The sequence below is a fragment of the Homo sapiens genome, chromosome 2 (assembly GCF_000001405.40).
Source record: "Homo sapiens chromosome 2, GRCh38.p14 Primary Assembly".
NCBI lineage: Eukaryota > Metazoa > Chordata > Mammalia > Primates > Hominidae > Homo > Homo sapiens.
The window spans coordinates 104,113,030-104,136,984 of NC_000002.12; the positions used below are offsets into that span (position 1 = coordinate 104,113,030).

General features: G+C 34.8%; 1 long non-coding RNA gene across 2 annotated transcripts in view, besides 3 other annotated features; it reads right to left on the reverse strand.

The window, feature by feature from the left end:
- Window positions 1-1,976: 1,976 nt before the first annotated feature.
- Window positions 1,977-23,955, reverse strand: part of LOC105373523 (uncharacterized) — a 43,330-nt gene continuing 21,351 nt past the window's right edge. For both annotated transcript variants that reach the window (XR_923128.1, XR_923127.1), the window contains exons 4-7: window positions 13,088-13,160; window positions 12,111-12,260; window positions 2,127-2,257; window positions 1,977-2,015 (exon numbers count right to left, since the gene is read on the reverse strand). This is a non-coding gene — a long non-coding RNA (uncharacterized LOC105373523). The remainder of the gene's footprint in view (window positions 2,016-2,126; window positions 2,258-12,110; window positions 12,261-13,087; window positions 13,161-23,955) is intronic.
- Window positions 7,031-7,878: an enhancer, noted in NCBI's record as "VISTA enhancer hs401". NCBI's record gives its function as "enhancer in: hindbrain (rhombencephalon)[4/7]" and the evidence as "EXISTENCE:transgenic organism evidence [ECO:0001131][PMID:17130149]".
- Window positions 13,823-14,360: an enhancer, noted in NCBI's record as "OCT4-NANOG hESC enhancer chr2:104743310-104743847 (GRCh37/hg19 assembly coordinates)". NCBI's record gives its function as "activates a minimal SCP1, AML or CMV promoter by ChIP-STARR-seq in naive H9 embryonic stem cells {active_cell/tissue: H9 hESC(naive)}" and the evidence as "EXISTENCE:reporter gene assay evidence [ECO:0000049][PMID:30033119]".
- Window positions 14,361-14,897: an enhancer, noted in NCBI's record as "OCT4-NANOG hESC enhancer chr2:104743848-104744384 (GRCh37/hg19 assembly coordinates)". NCBI's record gives its function as "activates a minimal SCP1, AML or CMV promoter by ChIP-STARR-seq in primed H9 embryonic stem cells {active_cell/tissue: H9 hESC(primed)}" and the evidence as "EXISTENCE:reporter gene assay evidence [ECO:0000049][PMID:30033119]".

Sequence of the window (23,955 nt, forward strand, 5' to 3'; positions counted from 1 at the left end):
GTACTCCAACATTGAGGCCAACTGTGTCTGCAATATTCTTTGTCAAAGGTTTTTGATGAGTAATTAGAATTATATAACAAGAAAAGTTGTATTAACAGGTTTCTCCATCTTGGTACAATTGATGCTTGGGGCTGAATAATTCTTTTTTGTGTAGAGCTGTCCTATTTATTACAGGATTGAATGGTGTTTAGGAACATCCTTGGCCTCTACTCACCAGATGCCAATAGCACCCTTTCCCCCTGAGTTGCGACACAAAAAGGCCTCTAGACATTGTCAGTGGATCCCAGAGAAAGCTAACATATCTGATTGAGATTGACTGATGTGTTAGGAATTTTTCCTATTCCTTGTGACAGATTTGGAAATTTGTATGTTTCAAGAAATTCAAATACCGCATGTTCTCACTTATAAGTGGGAGTTAAATGATGAAAACACATGAACACTGGTGGGGAACAACACTCTCTGGGGCCTGTTGGAGGACAGGGGGTGGGAGAAGGGAGAGGATCAGGAAGAATAGCTAATGTGTGATGGGCTTCATACCTGGGTGATAAGACGGTCTGTGCAGCCAACCACTATGGCACCTGTCTACCTGTCTAACAAACCTGCACATCCCGCACATGTACCCCTGAACTTAAAAGTCGAAAAATTTTTAAAAATTTGTTAATTTCTTCAAACTGTCAAATGTATTTGTTTATAACATTCCGTTATCTGTTTTTATGGCCGTAGAGTCTATAGTAATGTTAATTGATGATATTTATTGTGATTTTGCACGCACTCTCTCTCTAATTAATCTATCTAGTCTAACTGGAAATCTTTCAATTTTATTAGTTGTTTCAAAAAACCAAATTTGTATTTTGGTGGTTTTTCTCTACTGCTTGTCAATTTTCTACTTCAGTGATTTCTGCTCATGTCTTTACTATTTTCTTTCTATTAACTTTGGTTTTAATTTTCTTTTCCTTTTCTAACTTCTCAAAGTGGAATCTGATATTCTTAATTTTTTAATATAAGCATAAATTTTCTTTCAATTACTGCTTTAGCTGCAGCCCTCAAATTTTAATATATTATGTTTTTGTGGCTTCTCTGTTAAAATATTTGCTATTTTCTCTTCTGATTTCTTTCTCTTACGAGGTATTTAGAAGTGCTTAATTTTAAGTATTTTAGCATTCTCCAGATATCTTTTTATTTCTTTATATTTTAATTACATTGTAGCCAGATAATATGTGTGTATAATATCAGTTCTTGGAATTTATTGGTACACATTATATGGCCCAGCATATGATCTACCCTGATTTAATGGATCCGAGTACACTTGAATATAGTGTGTCATGTGCAATATTAGGTATATTGTTCCTTAACGGTTAAATTAAGTGATTGGCAATAACATATAAATATTATATACCTTTATTACTATGAGGGTATTAAAATCTCCATCTATAACTATGGATTTGATTTGTCTTGTTCTCACTTTAGAATTGTTTTTGTTTGATGTATCTTGAAACTTTGTATGTATATGGAATATTATATTGTCATTTGTTCTTAAAACATTTCCTCTCAATTTCTTTATCCTCTTAAACTGAGAGCCAATCGGACACAGGCTAGACCATGCTGAATGTACATTGATTTCCACATGTGCCTTGAAAACTTTGTGCTTTGGTATATATACCATGAGTAATATATAATTTTTTATCATTGTATGTGTATTTCCAACTTTTTCCCTTTTGAAAGAAAGCATTAAAAATAAATACTGTGGGCTAGAAGTGGTGGCTCACACCTGTAATCTCAGCACTTCGGGAGGCCAAGTCAGGTGGATTGCTTTAGCTCAAGAGTTTGAGACTGTCCTGGGCAACATGGTGAAACCTCATCTGTACTGAAAATATGAAAAATAGCCAGGTGTGGTGGCACACGCCTGTAGTTCCAGCTACTCAGGAGGCTGAGGCAGGAGGATTTCTTGAGACCAGGAGGTGGAGGTTGCAGTGAGCCACGATCATATACTTCAGACTGGGTGACAGAGTGAGACCCTGTATCAAAAATAAATAAATGCTGTGTATTATTACATATGTATATATATGCTATTGATCTGACATAGGTACTCACTCAGTTTTGGTTAGTGGAAGAATACTTGCACTTACAGTTTTGCTAGTAGAATCTGTTTGCAGTTTTAAAAACTCTTCACCATGTTAAATTCCCAAAAAGTGTATATGAAGGTATCCATTGTCTCACACGACCAACAGTATTTGATAATATCAATCTAATTTGTTAGCTGTTGGGTGAAAAAACACAGGATCTCATCATTATTTAAATTTGTATCCCCTAGCTACAAACACTCTTAAAATTGTATTTATATTAACTCTCTAAATTGTATGCTTATATTTCTTGCCTATTTTTCAATATTTTTTCTTTTAGATTTGAAGTTTCCCTATGCATGTCATAATTGTTTTTATTATTTAACTTTTTATACCTTGCAAGTACTGTTTCCAATACTGTTTCCAAGATTTATGGGCTTATTCCCAATCCAATAACCTTGGATTATTATATCATTTCCTATATGGAAGTTGTTTTTGCTTTGCTATTTATGTGGTCCACCTAGGGAGGTAGTGTAGATGAATGGCTAAGGAAAAAGCTCTAGAGTCAGATTATGTGTCTCCAAATCTCAATATCCTTATCTAAGTTGAGGAAACGTTAAGATAACATATCAGAGAAAATTTTCCTGTTAGTATGAGAGTAGGTATTCTTAAGCAAGACACAAAACCTAGATTCTATTAAAAAACAAAAAGCAGTGAAAAGAATATAAATCATTTTACAATAAAGACACATGCATGTGTATTTTCATTGCAGCACTATTTACAATAGCAAAGACATGGAATCAACCTAAATGCCCATCAACAGTAGACAGGATAAAGAAAATGTGGCACATATACACCATAGAATACTACTCAGCCATAAAAAAAAGAATGAGATTCTATCCATTGTGGCAACATGGATGGAGCTGGAGGCCCTTATCCTAAGCAAACTAAAACAGGAACAGAAAACCAAATATCACATGTTCTCATGCACAAGTGGGAGCTAAACATTGAGTACTTATGAACACAAAGAAGAGAGCAACAGACACCAGGACCTACTCGAGTGTGGAGGAAGGGAGAAGAGGGAGGATCAAAAAACTACCTATTGAGTGCTATGCTTATTACCTGAGTGACAAAATAATCTGTATACCAGACCCCATAACATGCAATTTACCTACATAACAAATCTGCAAATGTACCCTGAGCCTAAAATAAAAGTTAAAATTTTTAAATTAAAAAAAAATAGCGAAATCTTACTATATTTTGGAGGCACTACAAGGCTCAAACCACTTAACCCTCCTAAAACCCTGAGGTATAGAATGATCTCCATTTCGCAGATCAATGTTTTTCTAATGCTTTTTTACATTTTTACAAACTAATTTTATGTGGCTTGGTCTAAATTATTTTAATCCAAAAGATAGCTGATATTCCCAACAACATTTATTACAGTTCTTCCTTTCCCCACTAATTTAAGTGACCCTTTGTCATAATTCGATCAATTTTAGTGCTATCAACAATTTCTATTGACCTTTCTATTTATTCTTGTGCTAATATCTTATTCATTTAATTGCTCTAGCTTTAGAGTATATTTTTAATCTTTTGGAACATGTCCAAAGTTTTTATTTTTCCCTCTTTTTTAAAACAACTGTCATGTTTTTTTTTTTTCCAAATGAAAGTTGGAATTTGTTCCGTTACATTAAAATATTTCTGTTAGAATTTCCATTTGGGATTGGCTATATTTATAGAATATCTGGAGAATCAAAATTTTTACAATTTTTCTATTTTGTAAGAAGCATGTCTCCAAATTAATATATTTAAATGATGCCCTTCAAAGTAATGCATGGATTTCATTATACCTCCTTTGAGCATTTCTTATCAAGTTTATTAACAAGTATTTTGTAGCTTGTTTTGCTCTAGTTATTCAGATCCTTCCTACCCAAATTTTCTACTTAGTTAAGAAATTGACTTTTAAATTTTGAATTCTATTGGGACTCTTCACTGATATCTCTTATTCTAGTAGGTTTTTAGTGGTTCCTTTGAGGATTTCTAGGTAGTTTGTCATATGGTCCAAAATAATAACAGTGTGTCTTTTTTATTTTAATTTTCATATCAAAGTTTTTCTTTTTCTCTTATCATACTGCTTTGGCCAGGATACTCACTACAATGTTGAATAGCACTAGTGACAATAATGCCTTGTCTTTCACCTTTTTTATTTGAAGAATATTTTAAAATTTCACTTTACATATGATTCTGATGCAAATTTTTAATCGCAATTTTATTCAGGATGTTTAGTTCTATTTTCACCATGTTAAGAACATTCAACTTGGAGGCAAATTAAATTTATCAAATAGTGTTTATGTATCTATTAATGTTGATTTATCTTTTAACTTTCTGTAACTTGAATTGCTTTTGTATTTCTAGCATAAAATTGTAAATTCTTAATTAAACCATACGTTTAATATTTGTAACTTTTTATTATATCACTTCTATTCGGTGTTCATGGTTAGAGAAAATAGTAGCCATATCCCAGAAATGCACACACACACACAGACACACACAGCCAAAATAATTTTTAAATTTATCTTTTTCATCAATTTACTCTTTGTTACTTTCTTCCTGTTTCTTATTTTATTTTTGCATAAATAGAAAACTAAGCAAATTTGCTGAGTTGTGTAACATAAACTTTTAAAAGCTATCTTCAGATACCTCTGGATAATATTTTTGGTTCTCTGGTGTTGCTATTTTTCATTAGATGAAATAATTTTGTTTTTGAAAGTGATATTTCAAGGCATTTCAAATTGTATTTAGGAATAAAGAATTTTTACTGAAAAATATATGGGTTTGTTTATTCCTTTTGTTATTTCCTCTCTTCCTTCTTCCTTTCCTTCCTCCTCGTTTCTTCTTTTTTTTCGCTGCTTCCTTCTTTTATTTATTTTCCTACAGTAATGGTGAATTTGCCTTAAATTGACCACATTGTATTCTCTAGTCCCTATTTTAGCTAGTGTAATGCATTCTCATGATGGATAGACAGGAAAATGCACAGTCTGTGACAATGGAAGATAGTACAACCAAGGGGCTCGTGGGGATCAATGGAACAAAAGCAGTTTATAAGCATCTAAGCTAAGCAGCCAAGAAAAGGCATATTGTTCTGAACACAAGCTATATCTTCACTAAACAAAATGTAATGACATGCTACTATGTATCAGGCTCTATGCTAGGTTCTAAGGAAAAAAAGGAGATCAAGACCCGGGCCATGCGCCTCCTCAGAGAACTAACAGTTTTTTAGGAGGGCACACATGAAATCAGAGATTTATTACAATGGAGAAAACTTTAGATGTATGTAGAAAATGACTGGTAGATAATGAAAGATGACGCTAATGCAACCTGCGGAGTTTAGGACATGGTCCACAGTGTGCTGGATATTTACTCCAAGTCAGATATAATTCTGTTTACTACAGTTGTGTGAAAGCAATTATGTGTATTTCACATTTTATTCCTATTAAATTACTAAGTGCATTGCTTAGTCACTTAGTTATTTAAGTTAGGACATTTGCCCTTAAATGCACAGGTATTCATTTCTTTACTATTCATCTTCTGATAACTCACTCATTAAGGCAGGCCACTCATTCAGTCAAAATACAATGCCCACCTACTACGTGTCATTATTGGACTCAGAAGCCAATTTGACTGAGTCCTTGACCTCATGAAATTTACTCTCTAGTGGGACAGACAAAGATTAATCAAAATCTCTCAAATAAGTGTGTGATCAAAGGACAGAAGGACAGATTTATGTGCAACCTAAACATTTAGTGATTAATTATACAGTGCTGGGTATAAGCATGGGAGCATTGAGGGCCCTTGGGAAGGAAGAAGCCCAGAAAGTGATAATTGAGTTGAGAACTCAAGAATATTTGGGTCAAGAGACAGAGGTAAAGGGCTCCAGACAGAGGGCTCGGTGTGAGTGCAGGCCCTGTGGGAGGGAGCATGGTGCTTCTGAGGCTAAGAAAAAGGTAGAGACTTTAAGGGAGGCGTGTGCATAATTAATGAGAGCTGTTGCTCTCTGGGTCTTGTAGGCCCTTTTAAGGATTTCCTTCCTTAGAGAAATGGGGAACTCTGAAGGGCATTGAATGTGGGAGAAAATAATTGATTTCCAGGTGGCTGTAATGTAGCAAATGGACTCAATGTTTTCAGCTCTTCCAGCATCTCTATAGCAATTTCCCTATATTCAATTCCCTCCTTTAACCTTCACAGTATGAATACTGACCCTGACAGTACATACAGTATATCACATTTATTCAGTATTTTCTATCTGCCAGGCATTTTCTTAAGGGCTTTACATATATTATTTCATTTTTCCAACAATCTTTTAGATTTGTATCTATTTATGTCCTCATAGCACAGACGTGGGACCTCAGGTACAAAAAAATTAAGTAATTTGCCTAAGGTCACAGATCTGTAAGATTTGTATACTAATTTGGATTTCTGGCACTATTATCTTTGTTTCCAGTATGTTGTTTTGATCTTTTTCTAATATTTCAATAGTTCTGCTGCTTGTTTTCTCAAATTCTATCATAAGTAAATGGAGTTAAAATATGAAATATGTAAACATTTCAAATTCAATGAGGTTGATATTTCAGACATTCTATGTTATATGCGATTTCTGAATTTTCCTAATTGGTTTAGAATAAAAATATGATAGAAAGGCAACGATGTTGTGAGGAATACAATTTTATTTGCATATTTATTTAAATGAGATATTTGAATATTTTACATGCATTTAAGCTTAAAGCACCTTTGGTGAATCATTTTTCTCTCAGAAATAACTTGATAGGTTTGCGAATCTCAAAACGGTGAGATGTTCACACGTTTATTACCTTTTATTTCATATATATTTAGAGTGTCAGTAGGTAAGATAGGTTTGTGTCAGATTCAGTGTTACCATAATAAGGGGATTCTATTTAAAATGTTGCATATGCATGCACGATATTACTGGCTATATATAACAGATATATGTGTAACAGTTACATGCTTGTAAATGTTATTTAAATGAAGACTTTTAATCTACACTATTTAAATAAAGTTTATTTCTACTAACCTTACATAGAGAAAAAAATTCAAAACACCAAACAATATGGTATTCAAAATATAGAACTACTAGTTAAATGCAGATTAATTTTTTAACAAGAATTCCTATGCAGTAGGCAGATAGTTCCCACATCCCATTGTGATTGACAAGCCTGACATATGGAATAGTTCACAAATTCCCAGGTGACTGACAGATGGAGAATAGAAAGGCGGATAAAGTTGCCTAGAGAGCTGAGGATGATTTCATATTCAGCGGTTTTGATCAAAAGGATTCCAGATCTCACACTAAATTTAGCACCGCTGGCAATTAGTGCATGATTTATTCAGTCCTTTCATTTGCTGGTTGACAAATGGAAAACAAGCACAAAATTAAAAATAAGTTTATTTCCAGCATTTCGGATATTTAAAATGTGTGTGTCTTTGTTTGCACATAAATTAACATGAGATGAATTTATAGTGAGATTAAATCTGAAATGGAGATGCAAGCAATAAATAAGAGCTTTTTTATGTATCGTACGGGCAGAACAGGTGTTTGAATTAAGAAATACTAATATGTTTAGCAGCACGGCTCCACCTTTAGCATTAGGGAGTTGATGCTTTCCTGAATTTAGAATAATCTTTTCGCAATTTAGAGTTCTTTCATAAGCTTCCAACATAGGTGACCATCTGTATGACAATATTAATGCTTTTCAGTCTAGTAATAGTATAAAAATAAAAACAACTCCCTGTCACCAGGCTTTTCTGCATTACAATGAGTCACAGAAAGGCTACAGGCTTCTTTCCCTGTTTCTGCCTCTTGGGTGTCCATGGTGAACAGGCAGCAGAAACCCAAATCTGTCCCCTCTCATGCATTTTTAAATGGGGTTACAAGATTTCAACCTTTTCTATACTATCCTTCCAGCTAGACCATGTGTAAAGCTCTGTTTCCAGTTTCTCTTCCTATTTCATGGAACGACAATGAGAGGAGCAAGCTATGCTGATGTCAACTTTCTGTCGTGTTATTCAGAATCAGAACACAACAAAATCACATCCACAATTGCAGGAGAGCATAGCTGAAAATTGTCCCTCCTAGGGATCCAGAGAGGCAGGGACATTTTTAAGCACATTGACTGAAAGTGTAGAAAATGAATTGAGCAAAAGCCCCATTCTTTCAGTGATGGGAAAAAAAAAAAAAACCAATTATCATATCTGAAAGACCTTGTGATTTCTGAGTAGGTGTGTCTGTCTATCTCCTTTTTAGAAATCTTCTTGGCACTGTCTAATATAGCTGCTTAGAAAGATGAATGAATTTCTGGAAAGACGGTGGAAGCTGGAAGGATGTCTCAGAGTGTGAGGTGCCTTATCATTGTTAATGGAACAGAAGTGGCCCGTTGAGGTAGCTTGACATCAAAAGCAAACCAGGGCAACCATTTATGAAATGTTGGGCTGGCAGCAAAGCACCTGAGACTTAGGGATTGTGGGGGCAGATGTTTGGGATACTTACAGGTTTTCTTATTTGATTTGTATTCCAGGTCTGACATTCAACTTTATTTGTATTCATTATTCACAGTGGGAACTAGAATGGTTTTTAAAATAGCATAAAATCCACTTAAATTATAATGGAAAGAATTGTGTGCAATGTGATGCTTTAATTACTGTTAGGCTAACCTTGGGATATGGAAAATGTCAATTTTCATTGGCCACATGAAGGCTGAGCCCAGGTTTTAGCCCGCAGATATGTGCAGGGAGTAGGGGAGCAGCTCATGGGGACAGCCTGCCTGAGGAGTCCCCACAGTGCTTCAAATCTGCTTTGCCTTCTCCCCACACACCCTGGGGCACCATCACCGTTTCATTAGTATTTTCTTCCTCTTCTGCAATACCCTCACTGGTTCTCAGCAGCAGCCCAAAGACATTTCCCAGGCAAATGGCTTCAGGTCGGTTATGTTACTTCTTTTTTTTTAGGAGACCCTCCCTGGGTGGGTATGTCCTGGGTTTTCCACCCACCAAGACTGGGAACAGGGAAGCAGTGATGAGCTGGGACAGATCTTAAGACTCCTCTCTCTGTCAATCTATTCTTCTATTACTACTTGAAACCAGTAGCCCAAATACCATGCTATCTCCCCTGTGTCTTCTGCATGCATAAATTATTTCATCTGTAAACAAGCATTATCGGTTTTGAGCTTCTGGTTCTCTAAGAGCATGAGAACACCTTCCAAAGTAAGAGGCCATCATTCTGATTACCCTACTCTACTGAAGAGTCCGTCTCTGTTCTTTCAAGACCTGCCGTGGTGGTTAGGTATATGGTATGAAATCAACTGGACCCGAAATTCTTCTCAATTAAAAGGAGATTTTTAATTTCAATTTACCCAACTATGTGCAAATGTAAGCCATATATGAACTGAGAGAAACAGAGACTAAACTTTTTTCTTAAGTCATGCTCCTAGAGAGTATGCAGCTTAAACCTCTACATTACAGCCTGGAGGCAAGTTATGCATATATACATGCACACACAGATAAACATATTTATATAGACACTTCCATTTTTATTTATTTTACCCAAAAATATACTCTCTGAAAATAATAAGTGTTTAACAATTTGGGAAATAACTACATTCTAAAATACACGTTGCCTTTCCTTCAGTGTGCCATTTATTTTTCCTAATTAATCTGTTGAACTGAATGAAACTGTTCATAGTTGTCACGTTTAAGGTATAAAATTTACAACGTCATATGGTTCAACTTAGTAAAATCACAGTATTAGATGGGAGAAAGGTGGTTACATCCCCATTCCACTATTGGAGAGAAAAGAAAGAAGGCAATACTTTCTAATACCGTATTAGTTACGCATAGAACTATAAAAAGAATCTATTTCAACTGACTCACAAGATTTTTTCCTGTTGCATACTTTCTCATCATGCTAAAAACCTGTAACAAATATAAATGTTTTATTTATTTATTTATTTATTTATTTATTCATTTATTTTTGAGACAAGGTCTCACTTTGTCACCCAGGCTGGAGTGCAGTGGCAGGATCTCGGCTCACTGCAGCCTTGACCTCCCAGGTTCAAGTGATCCTCTTGCCTCGGCCCTCCAAGTAGTTGGGACCACAGGCCCACACCACCATGCCCAGCTAATTTTTCTGTATTTTTTGTAAAGACGGGGTTTCACCATGTTGCCCAGGCTGGTCTCAAACTCTTGAGCTCATGCAACCCGTCTCGGCCTCCCAAAGTGCTAGGATTACAAGCGTAAGCCACCTCACCTGGCCTAAATGTTTAATGTTTTAATTTGCTATATATTACCTATATGCACTGTGATACTGTAACATCGTAAGAAGAAGGAAAGGGAAAAATGTAACACTCTCTGAATGACACCTGTGTGCCAGACACTCAGCTTGGGGTTTTAGCAAAACATTAACTATTCTTCTCAGTTTTCTATAGTTCTCTGAATGAAATTTTTAACAAAATCTGAAGTATACGTTTAATCTCAGCATTTGTCTAAATATGTCCACCCAACATGGTCATCTCTCACCACATGAGTCTATTTATATTTATATTTAAATTTATCAAACTCAAATAACTTAAAATGTTAGTTACTTCTGTAATAAAAGAAACATTTCAAGCACTCGATAGCCATATGTGGCTATGGGTTACACCATCAGACAGAGCAGATATAGAAAGTTTTCCTAATCTCAGAGAGTTTTACTAGACAATGGTGGTCTAAGTCAATCTTCCAAAGGATATATTGGTCAACAAAGTTTTCATAACTTCATTAAACCTCTGGCAAGCTGGTGGTCCAGGTCTATTTTTAATTATTTATCATTTCTAGAGAACAAACACTAAAATGACACGTTTCTTAAAACATTATTTACAAAAGAATAAGTGGTAATTTCTTTGAAAGTATGTAACATGAGATACTTAATAAACAAATAACACCCCCCCAACTCTCCCTACTTTTGAACATGATATAGACAGAGTGCATACATGACAGTTGATGTGACACACTCTCTGCTCTCAATCTTAAACAGTTCTTTCGTTTGACTAGTTTCTAAATAACACATCTAGTGCAATCAAAAGTCATCTTTTCTGGGAGGAAAAGAAAAACAAATGTTTCCACAGTGATACAGAGATGCAGAAAACTGTTTGGAAGCAAACATTAAAACAGTATGTGATCAAACATAGGTGATAATTCAAAAATCAGGAAAACTTGGAAGATTTTAATAATAGCTTTATGCTTTCGAATGAACACCTTGCAAATGTCACTGGGCGCGGTGGCTCACAACTGTAATCCCAGCACTTTAGGAGGCAGGCGGATCAACTGAGGTCGGGAGTTCGAGACCAGCCTGACCAAAATGGAGAAACCCCGTCTCTACTAAAAATACAAAAAAATTAGCCAGGTGTGGTGGCACATGCCTGTAATCCAAGCTACTCGGGAGGCTGAGGCTGGAGAATGGCTTGAACCTGGGAGGCGGAGGTTGTGGTGAGCTGAGATTCTGCCATTGCACTCCAGCCTGGGCAACAAGAGCGAAACTCCGTCTCGAAAAAAAAAAAAAAACTTTGCAAATGTCTCTTTGAAATGCAAAGGTTAATAATGTAATCTGAAACACATCAAAGAGATAGATAAGGGAAAACATCTTTTTTACTTTGAGATGAAATTTTGTTTACCTGGTATATGTGCTGGGTAGTTCTGCTGACTAAGCACCTCATGTAAAATTAGGGCACCAAAATTACTGTTGAATGAATGAAACGAGTATCAGGCTGAGGAGTTTTACAGAGTAGGTGTCTTACTGTTTGTTTCAGTTCATGAAGAGTTGAGAATTGTGACCAGTTTTCTGCACACTGAAAACCCTAACAAAAGTTATCTAATCACTATTTACCCTTCATAAGCATACATTTGTTGCTACTAATCCTATTTTTACTCAGATATTTTAATGATATTCCCACAAAATTCTCTGCCTATTCGCCTTGCCATACTCTAAGCAAATATACATACCTCTGTTGCAACAGCCACCAAACATTAACCATATTCCTTGTTCTTTCTTTTCTGAGGAACTTCTTTCTGCCAGTCTGGGTTTTTTTTTTTTTTTTCATCTCAGTCTACTATCCATCATCTGTCTTTCACCTCCCACTGTCTGAAATAAAGCTGAGAATAGACATACATAATGCTTCAACAATTACAGCTGGAAAAAACCTACCAACATGGCTCTCAACAGAAGGGGTGACAAGCCCTGATTTCTCATTTGTCCCCATACGTTTTGATCCAGAAACTAAGAAAAACTTTTCAATTCCCAATTATATTGATCATGGAGGAAAGTCATCTGGTAAATCAATGGTAAATACTGCTAAATTAAATGAAAACATGAGGGATATTTTTCCTCGTTTTTCCTCTTGTTTGAAGATTATTTTATTTCCTTTTGCAATAGGTTAGTTTTGCTGGCAATCCCATGCCATGTTAGAACACTTCATAAATCAGGAGAAAAGATACCAAAATTTTAAAATAAGTTTATCATTCTGTTAGCACTGGCAAATCACATAGTTTCCTTCCAGTTGATTCTAAATATCACTGTTGCTATCCTTATCCCCTACTTTAATGAAATTAACAAAAGACAATTCAAGTAAGTTATTATATGCCTGTCACAAACTGTATCAGAGTTTCATTTTGTGCTCTCCCTAAGCACAAACAAATATCATCATTAAGGAGCATTTACTAGTGATCTAATTTGTAGGGTAATGAGCTAGGAGATGAAGACAAAAAGTTATGTTAAGGTCAGCCTTACAAGGAAAACAGGCGAGCAAGCGAGCGAGAGAGAGAGAGAGAGAGAGAGCAAAAGTGCCAGGAAGAGATGGCCAGATATCAAAGTTTTTAACCATTAGTTCATTCAGGGGGAAAAACCTTTTTTAGAATTAAAAATTAAAGGGTTAAAATATGTAAGCAATACCATCGGGGTGGTTTATGTGAAAGCTACTCACTGTGTTCTTAGAGTAAGATATCTTCTAGCAACAGACTTGGGTTTTCAGAGTTGTCTGAATTCTGGAGAAAGACCTTGGCAAAATGGAGAAAAGAAAAAGAGAATTTGGAGAAAGAGGAGGAGATTACACATCTCTTGTTAGTTGAGATAAGGCTCAGACAGAAAAAAATGATTAATTACTATTATTAAACTCTAAGACCATCGTCTCCATCTCATTTTATTCCTATTTGGTACTTGTTATTCATGCACATCTTTAGAAGGCATATGTCACAAGTCTATACAAAAGCCTCTACTAAATAAACAGATGGGTGGTCAGGGAAGAAATAATATTAGTTGGGGAAATAGACATCACATCTTTCCCACCTTTTGAGACAACTCAAAGGACTAAAATCAAAAATAAAATCTGACAAGAGAAAATATACCCAGAGGGTAGAAGTTATAAAGGAAAGCATTAAGGAATATAAGCAAATAAAAGAAATATAAAAGGATGTGGACATATGTACTATTTGGCATTTAAAAACTGAGTGTTTCTAGGACATAGAAAATGAAACTAAAGCAATGATAAGATTAAGCATTTGTGCACTGTAATATTCAAAATGAGTGAAAATAAAGATATGTTTAGGTGATACCTGTATCCAAATATTTTCAAGGGAGCCAAGGTGAGAAATTCCAAAAATGTCATATATTGTTATATTGGCCAACCTCCATTGTCCCATTAAATAAAAAAGCAATGAAATACTTGACATTGTAAGAAATACATAATTGCTGCGGAACTGTAAATTAAGTCTAACAGAAATCTTTAAAAATAATTACTCTTGCAGAAAGTTAGAGTACATGTAGCTTTCACTATTCCTCCCACTAAGTGTGACTATAAACCTTGAGTATCAAAAGGTGGAGAGAGGAAGGAAGAATGGCTAGGGACTCTGCTATCCAAGAATTGACAAAGTGGAGAGTTACTTGGGCTTTCATTTTGCTTTGTATATCTCTAAATACATATTAGAGAAACCAGCAGCCAGGAAATGCCTAAGAATACAGACAAAAAGGGCACCAAGTAAAGCTTGATCACTCTAACAAAAGGACACAGAGAGGGGCAGCCTAGCAAGACAAAAGAAAACTTTTATTAGACAATAACTGCTCTGCAAGCCTGGTGGAGTATCTCAACTTCTACCTTGAGAGGTTGTAATAAGGTGACCCAATCACACTGTTTGGGTGGCATCTGAGAATGCTGAGTAGGGAGCTGAGACTTTCATTCTTCCAATGTAGTAACAAATCTTCCAACACTCCCCTCACACACCACCCTATGTCAATAGAAACCACATGGACAGTCTAGACTTTTATCTACATACTACTGAAATGTGGTAGGAGGCCTGGTGAAGAGTCAGGATGTCTAAAGCAGTAAAGTGGTAATGAGCCACCCCACACCCCTTAGAAACACACTGCCATTGTTTTAGTTGAGGCCACTGCCATCAACACTAATGAGATGCCCCTCACCACAAATCAACAAAGAGTTACTACATAACCTGGGCTTCCTCTGAACTTCCAACCCAACCTTTCAGTAAAGAGGCTGTGGCTTTTCTCTGGCCCTTCATTCCCTGACATTGAGCAGTGTAACAAAAGAGTTGCTGAAACATGAGATTTAAATATGGTTCAGAGTCTCTCAATGTAATACCTAACATGAATAGGTTTCATCAAAAAACAATCCTCATATCAAAGACCAGGAAGATCCCAACTTTCAATAAGAAAAGAAAATTGACAGATGCCAACATCAAGATGACACAGGTGTTAAAATGTTCTGATAAGAGCTTTAAAAAGCCATTACAAAAATGAAATGAGTAATTACAAACACACTTAAATAAAAATAGAAAGTCTCGGAAATGAAACAGAAAGTCTAAGCAAATAAATAAAAGATATAAAGAAGAATCAAAATGTTAGAACTGAAAAATATAATTAACAACAAATCCTCAATGGATAGGCTCAATAAGAGAATTGAGAGCAATCAGGGACTTATGAGACTATAAAAAAACTTCTAACATTAATGTCAATGGAGTCCAAAAATGAGGAGCAGAGAGTGTAGAGCTGAAACGGTTTTTGAAGTATGACTGAAAATTTCCAAAATTTGCCAAAATTAATAAGCTTACAGATTCAAAAAGCAGAGTAAACCCCAAAGAAGTTAAACCCAAATAATTCCATGTCCAAGACACACCATACTGAAACTTTTAAAATTAAATGGGAGGAGAATAAAGGGACATAAAAAGAGGTAAGATTTTTACACTTCACTTAAAGTGATAAAAAAATTGACACTAGTAGATTGGGATAAAAATATAATATTAATAGCAATCACTAAAAGAGATATATAGAAATATACTTTAAAATTTATACTATATATAAATCAAAATGAAATTCCAAAAATGCTCAACCTATAGGAAGAAACAAAAAAGAAAGCTAGGGGATTAAAACAAAAACAGAGAAGAAACAGAACAAAAAATATATAATGACCAGTTTACACTCTAATCCCTAATTATATTAAATGTAAATGATCTAAATGCACCAATTAAAATACAAAAATCGGTAGCATGGATTTAAATAAACAACCCAATTATATACTGTCTACAAGAAGCTCATTTCCACAATTGTACTTGGGCATTTCAACAAACTTCTCACAACAAGTAAAAGACAACTGTCCAGATAATCAGCAAAAATATAGTACTCAAAATCACGATCCATCAACAGGATCATACTTGTATCCAGTGCCCACAGAATACATCCCAATGAAGACCACATCCTGGGCCATAAAACAAACTTCAACAAATTCAAAGAAATTGAAATCATAAACAGTTTGGTTTTTGACTATAATGGAATCAAACTAGAAATCAATAACAAAAAAAAACAAAAAAGAAAAAGTACCAAGCAATTGGAACTCAAAAAACACACTGCTAAATATTCATGAGTGGAAGAAAAAATTTAAAGGAAAAGCTAAAAGCACATTGAATGCAAGAAAATGAAAATACAACATATTAAAATTTGTAGATGACAGCTCAAGCAGTATTAAAAAAGGAAATTTACAGTACTAAACATTCATATTAGAAAAGAAGAAAAGCCGGGCATGGTGGCTCAGCCTGTAATCCCAGCATTTTGGGAGTCAGAGGCAGGCGGATCACCTGAGGTCAGGAGTTCAAGACCAGCCTGTCCAACATGGCAAAACCCTGTCTCTACTAAAAATGCAAAATTTAGCCAGGCATGGTGGCACATGCCTGCAGTTCCAGCTACTCGGGAGGATGAGGCAAGAGAATGGCTTGAACCCAGGAGGAAGAGCTTACGGTGAACTGATATGGCACCACTGCACTCCAGCCTAGGCAACAGAGCGAGACTGTCTCCAAAAAAAAAAAAAAAAGAGGAAAAGTCTTATATCGGTAATCTAAGCTCCCACTTCAAGAAAATAGAACAGAAAAACATAAACCTAGCAGAAGAAAAGATATAACAATAGAAATAAATGAAATTGAAAACAAAAAAAGAGAAAAGACAATGAAAAAATGTCTTATTTTAACAAAAATCAACAAAGCTGACTAATCTTTAGCTAGCCTGACAAAGAAAAAAAAGAGAGAAGCCACAGATTACTAATATTAGGAATGAAACATTGGATATTATTACAGACTGCAGATTTCCAAAGGATAATATGAAAATATTAGAAATAACTCTACAAACATAAATTTGACAGCTTAGATGAAATTGATCAATTTCCTGAAAATCAAAAATGATGCAAACTCACCCAATAAAAAATATACAACTTTAATAGCTTTATAACTGCTTGAAATTTTAATTCATAATTAAATTCCCCACCTTCCCCCGCCTGGCAAAATCTTCAGATCAAAATGTTTTCATTGGAGAATTCTGTGAAACATTTAAGTAAGAATCAGCATCAATTCTACACAATCTCTTCCAGTAAATGGAATAAGAAGAGACACTTTCTAATACGTTATGTGAAGCCAGTAATACTCTTATATAAGAATCATACAGACAATACCACAAAAGAAAATTACAAAACCCTCATAAATATAGGGGCAGAAATTCTCAACAACATATTAGCATATAGAACTCAGCAATATATAAAAATAATTATACAATATGATTGAGAGAGATTTCTTCCACAGATACAAGGCTGGAACAACAGTCAAAAGTTAATTAATCCATATTAACAAGCTAAAGAAGATAAATAATAATATTTGATGCAAAAGAAAACGTTTGATGAAATTCAATATCTGGTCATGATAAAAAAAACTCAGAAAACTAGAACTAAAGGGGACTTTTTCAACTTGATTGAAAAAATATACCAAAATATTATCGCTAACCACATACCTAATGGTAAAAAATTAAACACTTTCTCTCTAATATCAGGAACAAAGTTAGGATGTTCTTTCTTACCAACTTATTCAATATAGTGCCAGAAATTTTAGCTGGCATGATAAGGCAAAAGAAAAAATGGCATATAGATGAGAAAAGAAGAAAGAAAACTATTTCTATTTACAGATGACATGAAGGTTTCCATAGAAAATCTAAAGAAGTAAAAAAAAACCTAGAATGAATAATTGAATTCAGCATAGTTGCAGGATAAAAGATCAAGACACCGAATCAGTCGCATTTTTATACTAGCAGTGAAAACATGGAAACAAATTAAAATTACAATACCATTTACAATTAACCAAAAAATTGAAATATGCAGGTGTAAATCTAATGTATAGGAGGTGAATGTTAAAAAGTGAAAAAACACTAATTAAAGGGATCAAAGACAAGTAAATAAATGGAAAAACTTAATGTGTTCATGGATTGGAAGACAGCATGGTAAAGTTGTCAATTCTTCTCAAATTGATGCACAGGCTTATGCAATTCTGATCAAAATCCCAGGAAGATATTTTTATAGATATAGAAAAGATCTAAACTCTCATGGAAATACAAAATAATTAGAATGGCTAAAGCAACTTTAAATAATAAATATAAAATAAAGGCATTATTGTACTTGTTGTCAAGACTTACTATATAATTATAGTCATCAAGATCGTGTTGTATTGGCAATCTACAGGTAGATCTATGTAACAGAATAGAAAATCCAGAAATTGTCAAAAAATAATATTGTACTATTATAAATCATATTTATCATATTGTATTGGTCTAAGATACAAAAGCAATTCAATGCAAAAAAATAGTTTATCAACAAATAATGCTAGAGCAATTAGATACACATAAGCAAAAAAGAAAAAGGAAACAAGATTTTAAATCTAAAACTCACACTTTATCCAAAGCTAACTCAATATGGATCATATACTTAAATGTAAAACATGAAACTAAATAAGGGGATGGAAGAGATAGTGTGAAGTTGGTTAATAGATGGAAAAGTATAGCTAGATCGAAAGAGTAAGCTCTAATGTTCTATAGTACTACAGGGTGACTATAATTAACAATAATTTATTGTATATTTTCAAACAGAATATTTTGAATGTCCCAGCACAAAGAAATGAGAAATGTGTGAGGTGATGGATATGTTAATTACTCTGATGTGATCATTATACATTGTATACATGTATGAAAATATCACACCATGCCCCACAAATATGTAAAATTAGTATATGCCAATTAAAAATAGTAATAAAAGCAAAAAATGTTTAGGAAAAAACAATAGGTAAAATGTTCAGGTTCTAATTTTTGGTAAAGAGTTCTTGGATATGCCACCAAAAGCACAAAAGAACAATTGATAAATTAGAACTTCATCAAAATTAAAACCATTTGCTCTTTGGAAGACCCTGTTAAGAGAAATAGAAGAAGAGCTGCAATCTTGGAGAAAATATTTGCAAACCACATTTCTGACAGAGAACTCATATCTAAAATATATAAAGAACTCTCAAAACTCAGTGGCTAAGAAACAGCCAGTAAGAAAATGGGCAAAAGACATGAAGAAATGTTTCATGAAAGTGGAGCTATGAATGACAAATATGCACATGAAAAGATGTGTAAATCACTAGCTATAAGAGATAGGCAAATTAAGACCACAATTAGATATCACTACACATCTCTCAGAATAGCTAACATAAAAGTAGTGACAACACCAAATGCTAGACAAGATGCTGAGAAACTAAATCTCTCCAGCACTACTGATGGAAATTTCCAGTGACCCCTTGGGAAATTAGTTTGGAACTTGCTTTAAAAAGTAAATATATGTTTACCATGCAATCTGGTTTTTGTACCCTTGGGCATCTGTCCCAGAGAAATGAAAATATATTTACGCAAAAATCCTGTACATCATTGCTCATAACAACTTTGTTCATAATAGCCGAAAAGTGGGCAAAACCAAATGTCTCTAAATGGGTGATCAATGATTAACTGGGACACCCACACCAGGCAATACCACTCAATAATGAAAAGGAGTGAATTACTGATACACCCAACAAATAGTTGAACTCCCTTTTGCTGATAATTCCATTGATGTAACATTTTCAGATGACAAAACTACAAAGTTGAAAAACAGATTAGTGTTTGCCTTTGGTTTGGAATGGTGGAGGAGGTGGAAAGGGGTCAGTGCAACTATAAAAAGGGAACAGGAGAAAGATCTTTGAGATGAAGGAATATTTATCTGTCTTGATCAGGATGGTGACTACACATGTGATTAAAATGACATAGAAGCAAACACATGCTTTACTGCAATGTGAACTTCTTGATTTTCATAGTTGTGCTATAATTATCTAAGTTCTAACCATGACAGCAAACTGGGTGAAGAAGACACAGGAACTCTCTGTGCAATCTTTGCAACTTCCCATGAATCCATAATTATTTTAAAATAAAATGTTTAAGAAATAATAACTAGTCTTCAACCTTCAGTATCTTTCTAACAGAATTGCCTTTTTATTGATGAAAAGAAATGATGGGAACATTCTAGTCCAGTGATTATAAAGATGGTCCTAGGAACAGCATGAGTAGCAACATCAGCACCACCTGGGAACTCACAAAAAATGCAAATACTCAGCCTGACTTCAGACCCACTCAGTCAGAAACTCTCAGAGTGGGCCTAGCAGTTTGTGTTTTAAGAAGCCTCCTGGTGAATCTGATGCATGTTGAAGTTTGAAAACCACTGGCCCAGGAGCAAGGAGTCCTAGTCTTGAGCAAGATCATGACTATAGCCTGAAGAAAAGCCATATTCCCTCTGGCATGGCTATATCCACGCTCTCTCCATATCATGTGAAAATTAACAAAGTGCTGCACGTTGTACTCCACAGACTTCTCCATACGATCATACACTCGAAATCATTAAACGTGAATACTGAGCATTTCAAAGTAAATATATTCAAAGTCATTACAATTAACTCAACTTTACACTGTTATGATTATACTCTTCATTCACTCTAGTCCCAGATTTATTTGAAACTCTAAAATGTTAAATCCAAGGTCATATCTAGACACAGGTGCCTTTCAATAATGTAAAATCATAATTATAATACTTGCCTGCTCACTTCACAGGAATTTTGTTAAATCATATGAGATAATTTATTTGAAGGATTTGTGAAATACTTCCACAGCCTACACAAATAGTTTTTATCACAATCAATTATAATATATATTTCAATACTTAATAATAAATATTTTGTCAATATTCTCAATATGCACTTATCACTTCTTAGCCAATTCTCACATGGCCAGTGGCTTGCATATGCAATCTCTAGCCTTCATAGGAGATGCTCATTACAGATAATTGTAACTACATATGACTCTGAGAGGAGGGATAAATGCCCATGGACTCATCATTGCTGGTCAAACTCAGATTTGAAGCAGACTAGCAGATTCCAAATATGGCACTGTTCTTTCTCACTACATCTCTGGCCTTCTCAGTCACAAAGACACTTTCCAGACACCAAAAAGAAAAAAAAAACAACAACATTAAGCAGTCAGCTGATTTTCTTACTTTTCGATCTAAAACATATTCAAGTTATCAACTGTGAATAACCATTGTCAATTGCCAATGAACGTAGTAAAAAGAAAAAGGATTGTGTGTGTGATTGCACACACATAACTATAGAGCTATCTCATGTTAGAAAGTGGGTTTGCATCTGGAGTTAAAACTGAAAAAAAAGTTAACAGCACTTTTTGTGGAAGACTCCTTGACAAAAACCGAATTTTATGAGTTTTCTTTGTGAAGAATAAAAGGAAGTTTATTGTAACAGGAACAGTGGAAAGGAGTAAGGGGAAAGAAAGAAGATATGCCAGTAAATAGTTAAGCTGACTTTCTAGGAAACATTCCCAAATGATGAGCCAATTCTTATTTATTTAAATAAAGTGACAAAGCTATGGAAATAGGATGCAAGTATTTTGTATTATAATCACATTCTTGTGTCCATGGCTTTGAAAATTACTAATCTACTCATCTGACAAAGGGCTAATACGCTACAAAGAGCTCAAACAAATTTACAAGAAAAAAAACAAACAACCCCTTCAAAAAGTGGGCAAAGGATATGAACAGACATTTCTCAAAAGAAGAGATTTATGCAGCCAAAAGACACATGAAAAAATGCTCATCATCACTGGCCATCAGAGAAATGCAAATCAAAACCACAAAGAGATATCATCTCACACCAGTTAGAATGGCGATCATTAAAATGTCAGGAAACAACAGGTGCTGGAGAGGATGTGGAGAAATAGGAACACTTTTACACCGTTGGTGGAACTGTAAACTAGTTCAACCCTTGTGGAAGACAGTGTGGAGATTCCTCAGGGAACTAGAACTAGAAATACCATTTGACCCAGCCATCCCATTACTGGGTATATACCCAAAGGAATATAAATCATGCTGCTATAAAGACACATGCACACATCTGTTTATTGCGGCACTATTCACAATAGCAAAGACTTGGAACCAACCCAAATGTCCAACAATGATAGACTGGATTAAGAAAATGTGGCACATATACACCATGGAATACTATGCAGACATAAAAAATGATGAGTTCATGTCCTTTGTAGGGACATGGATGAAGCTAGAAACCATCATTCTCAGCAAACTATCGCAAGGACATAAAAACAAACACCGCATGTTCTCACTCATAGGTGGGAGTTGAACAATGAGTACACTTGGACACAGGAAGGGGAACATCACACACTGGGACCTGCTGTCGGGTGGGGGGAGGGGGGAGGGATAGCATTAAGAGATATACCTAATGTTAAATGAAGAGTTAATGGGTGCAGCACACCAACATGGCACATGTATGCATATGTAACAAACCTGCACGTTGTGCCCATGTACCCTGGAACTTAAAGTATAATAAAAATATATATATATATATATATATATATAAAGAAAATTACTAATAGTCCCCAAATGTACATAAGTTCAGGGACTCAAAGTAAATTTAGGGAAGATGGTCAAGTAATGCAATAGCTGATGATGAGCAGGAAGCCACTGCCAGGAAAGAGAGAAGGCAGCAGGCTTCGGGTGGATTTGGTAATAGGCCTGCTGTTTATGCACATAGGTCAAACTGAAAGCGTGTTCTATTACATAAGGGTGATGAATCTGCTCAACACATTTCCTCTATTGGCAGGTGAAACTAAATTTGTTTAAATGGCATAATCTAAATTTCTGTCTGAAGAGAATTCACTAAAAAAAAGGGCACTCCATGCCAAGTTTAGTGCCCTCCACAGAGACAGCTCACTGCAAAATAGTCACTCCAACCATAAAAATGATCCTGGTTTGGATCCAAATACTGAATAATAAAAATGCTAGATTTGGGGAGAGTGCATTCTTTGCAAAAGTGTGATAAGAGGTGGGAACAATCCAGGGGGATAAAGTAATGGAATTCTACAAAGGCCAGCAAGGGGAAATGGAAAATATTTAATGACAAATTAATGTATGCCCAAGGGTTAGGAATGTCACATACCAATAAGTACAGCCGGAGTGAACAAAAGTCAATGTGGATAAATCAGGAGGTGCAGAAAGCAATCAAGGTATGAGAGAGAAATATGTGGAATATAAAACACTACATCCAGATGTAACAGAGGAGATTATAGAATGAATTCAAGTGTAAAAAATATATAAGAAAAGCAAAGATGAAAAATGAAAGGAAGATTGCAGGGAAGTTTAGATAAATATCAGAACATTTTTCAAAGCACTAAGGGTAAAGAGGTCAGCATAAGAGACAGTAAATGTTGAAAGACAGAGACAGGTAATTTATTGACCAAATAGTGGAATCTAAAGAATTAAATGCATCCTTTCATTTATTTTTCACAAAAAAAATAAGGGAGTGAGTGCGTGGAGGCATGAGACAGATTCAGCCAGTGCTTGGTGAAATGATGTGGTGGCTGAAATGAGTGATCAAGGAATTAGGGTATATGACAGTAAATAAGTTTCTCATTCTTTTTTCCTTTTACTCAAAAGACATTAGTAAATGTTAAACTTGGGTATCAGAGAAAACATCATAGAATAAATCTAAGCCTAAAAAGATAACGAAATTCTCTATATCCTAACATTTACAGTATATCTTGTTTATATTCTGTTTAAACTGCTTGAGTTGAAAGTGTCCTGTTTTAAGAAAAAAATTCCCTCCTATATGTAAGTGTATAAATGTGTGTGTGTGTGTGTGTGTTTAGCTGACCTTCTAGGAAACATTTCCAAATGACAAAAAAATTCTTATTTATTTAAATAAAGTGATAAATCTATGGAAATAGGATGCAAGTATTTTATATTACAATCACATTCTCATGTCAATGGCTTTGAAAATTACTAATATCCCCAAATTTTCATAAGTTCAGGGACTCAAAGTAAGTTTAGGAAAGATGGTCAAGTAATGTAATAGCTGATCATAAGCAGGAAACCACTGCCAGGAAAGAGAGAAGACAGCA